Raw genomic sequence first — 5,866 nt, forward strand, 5'->3', positions numbered from 1 at the left:
CTTCTATTACATAAGATGATCGGAGCTTGTCTCCAGCCAACAGGAATCATTATTATTTCTGAGGGACTATGAGTGGGTGGGCAAAAATTGCATTTTCTTTTTCTTTTTTTTTTTTTTTTTAACAGCCAGGGTCTCACTATCGCTATTGTTGCCCCAGCTGGACTTGAATTCCAGGGCTTAAGTGATCCTCCCACCTTAGCCTCCCAAGTAACTTGGACTACAGGCTATGCCAGCATGCCTTGCAGGATTTACATTGTTAATCATAAGATACTCTCTGTGTTATGGAATGAATTGTGTCCCTATGCCCCCCAAAATTTTATGTGTTGAAGTCCTACTCACCAGAATTTCAGAATGTGATGATATTTGGAGATAGGGTTTTTACAGAGATAGTTAAGTTAAAATGAAGTCACTGGGGTGGGCCCTAATCCAACATGACTGGTGTCCTTATAAGAAGAGGATATTTGGACACAGACACATACAGAGAGAGGATGACATGACAATACCAGAAGTTGGTCATCTCCAAACCAAGGAAAGAGGCCTCAGAAGAAAGCAACCCTACTGACACGTTGATCTCAGATGTCCAGGTTCTTCAACTGCAAGAAAATTAATTTCTGTTATTCAAGTCACATAGTCTGTGATATTTTGTTTTGGCAGCCCTAATGCACCTTGGAAGGGGAGATCACTTAGACAAACAATGCCTGTCCCATTCCACTCCAGCCTCTTCAAATTTATACATACAAAGGAGAACCACTCACGAACATTGGTATTTTGTGTTTTTTTGGTCACGTATTACTTGTGCTGCCCATCACAGCTTACTAGAAGACTGAAAAACATTGCTGTAGGGGAGAAGGGGCCACAGGGGAATTCAAAGCAGAGAAGGACGTGATGGATCTGAATTTTGGGTGGATCACACCAACATCAAAAGTGAAGATGGATTGAAATAGGGCAAGACAGGAGATGGAGAACTATTAAAATGCTTTTTCGGCTGGGCATGGTGGCTCACGCTTGCAATCCTAGCACTTGGGGAGGTCGAGGTAGGCGGATCACGAAGTCAGGAGTTTGAGACCAGCCTGGCCAACATAGTGAAAGTCCATCTCTACTAAAAATACAAAAAAAAAAAATAATAATTAGCTGGGCATGGTGGTGGGCACCTGTAATCCCAGTTACTTGGGAGGCTGAGGCTGGAGAAATCACTTGAACCCAGGAGAAAGGAGGTTGTAGTGAGCTAAGATCACACCACTGCACTCCAGCCCAGGCGACAGTATGAGACTCCATCTCAAAAAAAAAAAAAAATGCTTTTTCATTCAGTAGCAGCAGGGATGGAGAATTAGGGATGGGTTTGATAAATATCTAGGTATGAGAATAATAATATTGGGTGATAGAATTGGGGTGATGAAAGGGAGTAGAGATGGATGATTTCTATCTTTCTAGTTTAGGTATCTGAGTATACAATGGCACTGCCAATAGAAAGCAACTATAGAGTTTATTTGCATGCCACTGTATTCTAGAAAGAACTGAAGTTGGCTTATACAAAAACTGATCATGCCATAATAAATAGAAGTAAATGGGGAAAGCGAAGCTGGCTGTGCTTGAAAACTGGAAAGACAAAATGAAGCCAAGAGCGAGGTTAGCACACAAATCCTCATCCAGGGATTCTTAACACTTGTCAGAGATGGACTGTACATTTTGCTTTAGGCCAACACATGACATTATTCACACTTGTCATTTTGGTCAATGTTTCTCACCTCTTCCAAGGACCTGGAGTCTGAAAATTCTAAAACAATGAAAATCTGGCTGTTGGCTTCTGGGCGTGAGAGGCACCAGGAATACTGGGAGAGGCTCAGATTGCATATTTGGAGACTCCTCAGAGAGAAAGGTGTGGAAAGTTTAAAAAGTGTGGAGCATCTCCTGCCTCACCTTAGGGTAGGGTGGAATCTGGCGCTTGGGTTCAGAGACTGGGAAGATGGACTGTCTGTACTTCCATGCAACAGTGTAAAAATCCATTGATTTGGGAAAATGACATGGATGTGTCATATGCCTTCTGTGGTGCCACTTGACTGATTTACATAATATTGCTGTTTTTGCTATGTGAATACACAGGTTACATAAGCAGTCTGGCAGCTTAAGTCTCATTACTGTCATTTCCAAGGTGTTAGATTGTTCAGAACAAGGGAACCCTTTCTGCTACAGAATCTAAAGTGAATGTATCCCCATCTAGGCACATTTCAATGATCCCTTCATGATCACACCTTTGGAATATGCCCAAATAGCCAGTTTGATAACCTTAGGTTGGAAAAGGGAATGGTTGTTCCCAAGCTGTCTTTCCCAGAGTGTTTCCCTCTTGCCAAGTGTTGAGTGAGGTTCAACAGGTTTATGTTCCTGCCTATGGGGCACCTTTCTCTATGGAGAAAGGACCTTTAGAAGGACTATATAGAGAGAGGTGAGCTCTATACAACAGCTCTTGGCGCTAATAATACTACACCTTGATGGGTCCAGGACTGGTTGGGGCCTGACTTGCTGATCTTTTTTGCTTTTATAATTTCAACTTTTATTTTAGATTTAGGTGGCACACACGCAGGTTTGCTACATGGATATATTGCCTGATGCTGGGTGCGATACACATGATCCAGTCACCCAGGTACTCAGCATCATACCCAGTGGTTAGTTTTTCAACCCTTACCCTCCTCCCCTTCCCCTCTAGTAGTCCCCCAGTGTCTATTATTTCCACCTTTATGTCCACGAGTATCCAGCGTTCAGCTCCCACTTGTGAATGAGAACATGCAAGTATGTCTAAGATGGTGTCTCCACTCCATGCATGCCTCCTTCTAGACAGGATCTGGCTGGCTGTGGGCAGTATTGTGGAGTTGGTAAGTTTCCTCTGTGCGAGTTTACTCTTCCTTTTCTTTCAATGTGTACCAGAGTGATGGGATTGGCTTTGGAGTAGAGATATGACTCTCTCTGGCCAGCCAAGCCTGGTACAAGTAATTTAACTCCTTGGAATCTCAGCTTCCTCATCTGTAATGTGCGGAAGATAACAGCAGCCTCACAGGACTGCCCTGACTGCAATCACAATGGAAATGAGTGGCTGTGAATTTCTTCACAGCGTCCTGATGCAAGAAAGGCCCAAAATACTTCACTCATTTTATTGATTTATTTATTTACGTATTTTTACATACATACATTTTAGGGACACCCAGGCTGGAGTGCAGTGGTGTGATCCTAGCTCACTACAACCCCAAACTCTTGGGCTCGAGCAGTCCTCTCACTTTAGCCTCCCAAGTAGCTAGGACTATAGGTTCGCACCACCATGCCCAGCTAATTTTTTATTTTTAGTAGAGACCAGGTCTTGCTTTGTTGATCAGGCTAGTCTCAAACTCCTGATCTCAAGTGATCCTCCCACTTCAGCTTCCCAAAGTGCTGGGATTACAGGTGTGAGCCACCATGCTCATCCACTTTACTTGTTTTAATCAGAGTAAATCTGGCTGTAGGCTCTCAAGAACTACAGTGTTGAGAAAATAAATCACAGATTTCTTTAGGAGCATTCCCTACCAATCCCCAAAGATATAAATGGTCTTTTAAATCCCTTATTTGGGATTTAAAAATTAGGGAGGGGGCCAGGTGCAGTGGCTCATGCCTATAATCCCAGTACTTTGGGAAGCCAAGGTGAGCGGATCGCTTGAGGTCAGGAGTTCAAGACCAGCCTGGCTAACATGGTGAAACCCCATCTCTACTAAAAATACAAAAATTAGCCGGGTGTGGTGGTGCGAGCCTGTAGTTGCAACTGCTCGGGAGGCTGAGGCATGAGAATTGCTTGAACCCCGGAGGTGGAGGCTGCAGTGAGCTGAGATTGTGCCACTAGACTGCAGTCTGGGTGACAGAGCAAGACGGTGTCTCAAAAAAAAAAAAAAAAAAAAAAAAAAAGGAAAAAACATGAGGGAGGGGCCTGGACCTCAGTCCTTGGAGTCACCAGAGTTCCTGCTGCTCTTTCTGCTCCATGATGCTCCTGAGTTTGTCCTGCTTGCTTTCTCAGCCTTTGTTCTCTCGACAGACCCAGGGCTGTTCCTCAAGACCATTGTATTTTCTTCTAGCCAGAAGTTTGACCACATGGAATTTTGCCAGTGCTGTCCAAGTCTTGGCACTGTATCCAACCACCCTGGTATCCCTGAGATCTGTGTTCAAAGACAGCCCAGTTCTAATCACCTGTGAAAACCCCAAACCTCCACACTCTTCAATGTTATGGGAGGCCAAGGCTTTACCTGCCTCCAGGCACCCCAAACCCCAACTGTCTCCCCGATCTATTTTCCTTCCTCATGAATGAGCTTATGTTTCCTAAACAAAGCTGGGATGAGTCTTATGTCCTGGAAGTCTCATAGTTTCTACTGAGTTAATATTGACTCTAGTTGTCCTCAGTAGCCAGTTTCTTCTTCACTCACACCAACAGAATGTTTAGCTACACAGGAAATGCCTAGAATAAGGCTGACATTTTGCAGCCTGCCTCATAGCTAGGGATAGCCATGTGGTTGAGTTCTGGACAAAGAGATTTAGGTAGAAAGTGTGGGTGGCAGCTTCTGGGAGCCTTCTTTAAGGGACATACCTGCCCTTTGATGTTCTTTTCTTCTTCCATCTTGCTGTCTCCTATGCAGCTGCTGCCATCTTGGACCAAGCACATGATGGTCATATCCTAAAAGATATCAGAATGGTGAGTTGGTAGGAGACTGAGTCTTTGTTTATAAGACAAGACACAGAGTGGGGAAAACCCCTTTTGTTTGGTCCAATGTCATGACAATTGAGCATCAAAGGGAAGAATCTCAAGGACCAAGGTTACCTGCTGAGCATGACCAAACCCAAGAGAGCCCACGTCCTTAATGACATCACTTACCCAGGAGCCTCCTCCCTCCAGACTCCTTCTGATGGGAGATGAGATGAGACATTTTCCCCACTGTTTAAGCCACTTTTCTTTGGATATTTTATTGCCTAAGAGCACCCTAACCAATGGGATATAAAGAAGAACAGTCTCAGAGCACAAGGGTTGTTTACTTGTTTTTCAGATGAGGCAGGGAAAATCCCTCTTGATCTTTTGAGCATCCTTCAGCAACAAGAACAAACACAAACAGGTATCTCAGTAAATGATGCCCCCATATGTAAAAAACACAGCATGGAACCTGACACATTTAAGCAGTCAGTAAAAGGTAGCTATTCTTCTTTTTCTTAGTAGCATAATGCCTCAATAAACATTGGTTTCTGATCCTATCCCCTTGAGTATCTCTCCCTTTGCTGCTAAGTTTCTCCATACCTTTACATTTATCTCCCTTCTCCCCTATTAAACCTGGCTCTTGAAAAGACTGTCAACTTGCTCTCATTGAGGTGTCAGTGATAGATAAGGCTTAATGTATGACCTCATTCCCCAAACACTATCGGCTTGTCAGTGAGATTTACATTTAATAGAGGATTAAAGCCTTAAGCCAAAGGAATGAATCTTTAATGGTGAAATTTGAGGCACCAGAAGGCTTATGAAAAACAATATTGAAGAGGGGGAGGACCTCCTTGGTGATCCCAATTTTCTGAGGCATTCTCATAAAGTTCTCCAAATTCTCCCAAATTTAAAAACGTCATGCCGTACTGCACTTCACAATTGGCAGTTGGCAGACAGATTCTGGATGAAGCTTTGTGGAACTGAACGGGAGTGGGAGGGGGAATCGTGAAATCAAAGGCACAAGAAGAGGGTGTCTCAATTCCAGAGGGAGTTGTCTGTTGAGTGGGTGAGTCAGGCTGTCTGAGCATGTGGATGGAACTTCCCTGGGGCAGCTGCCTGTGTTGAGCCACATTTGATATTGACTTAGCAGTTTCCTGCTGCTTCTTGACCTTT

At 43.9% G+C, this 5,866-nt stretch overlaps 1 annotated feature.

Annotated features, from left to right (window-relative positions):
* Window positions 4,597–5,164: an enhancer, noted in NCBI's record as "NANOG-H3K27ac hESC enhancer chr16:16950834-16951401 (GRCh37/hg19 assembly coordinates)". NCBI's record gives its function as "activates a minimal SCP1, AML or CMV promoter by ChIP-STARR-seq in naive H9 embryonic stem cells {active_cell/tissue: H9 hESC(naive)}" and the evidence as "EXISTENCE:reporter gene assay evidence [ECO:0000049][PMID:30033119]".

The sequence above is a fragment of the Homo sapiens genome, chromosome 16, assembly GCF_000001405.40.
Source record: "Homo sapiens chromosome 16, GRCh38.p14 Primary Assembly".
NCBI lineage: Eukaryota > Metazoa > Chordata > Mammalia > Primates > Hominidae > Homo > Homo sapiens.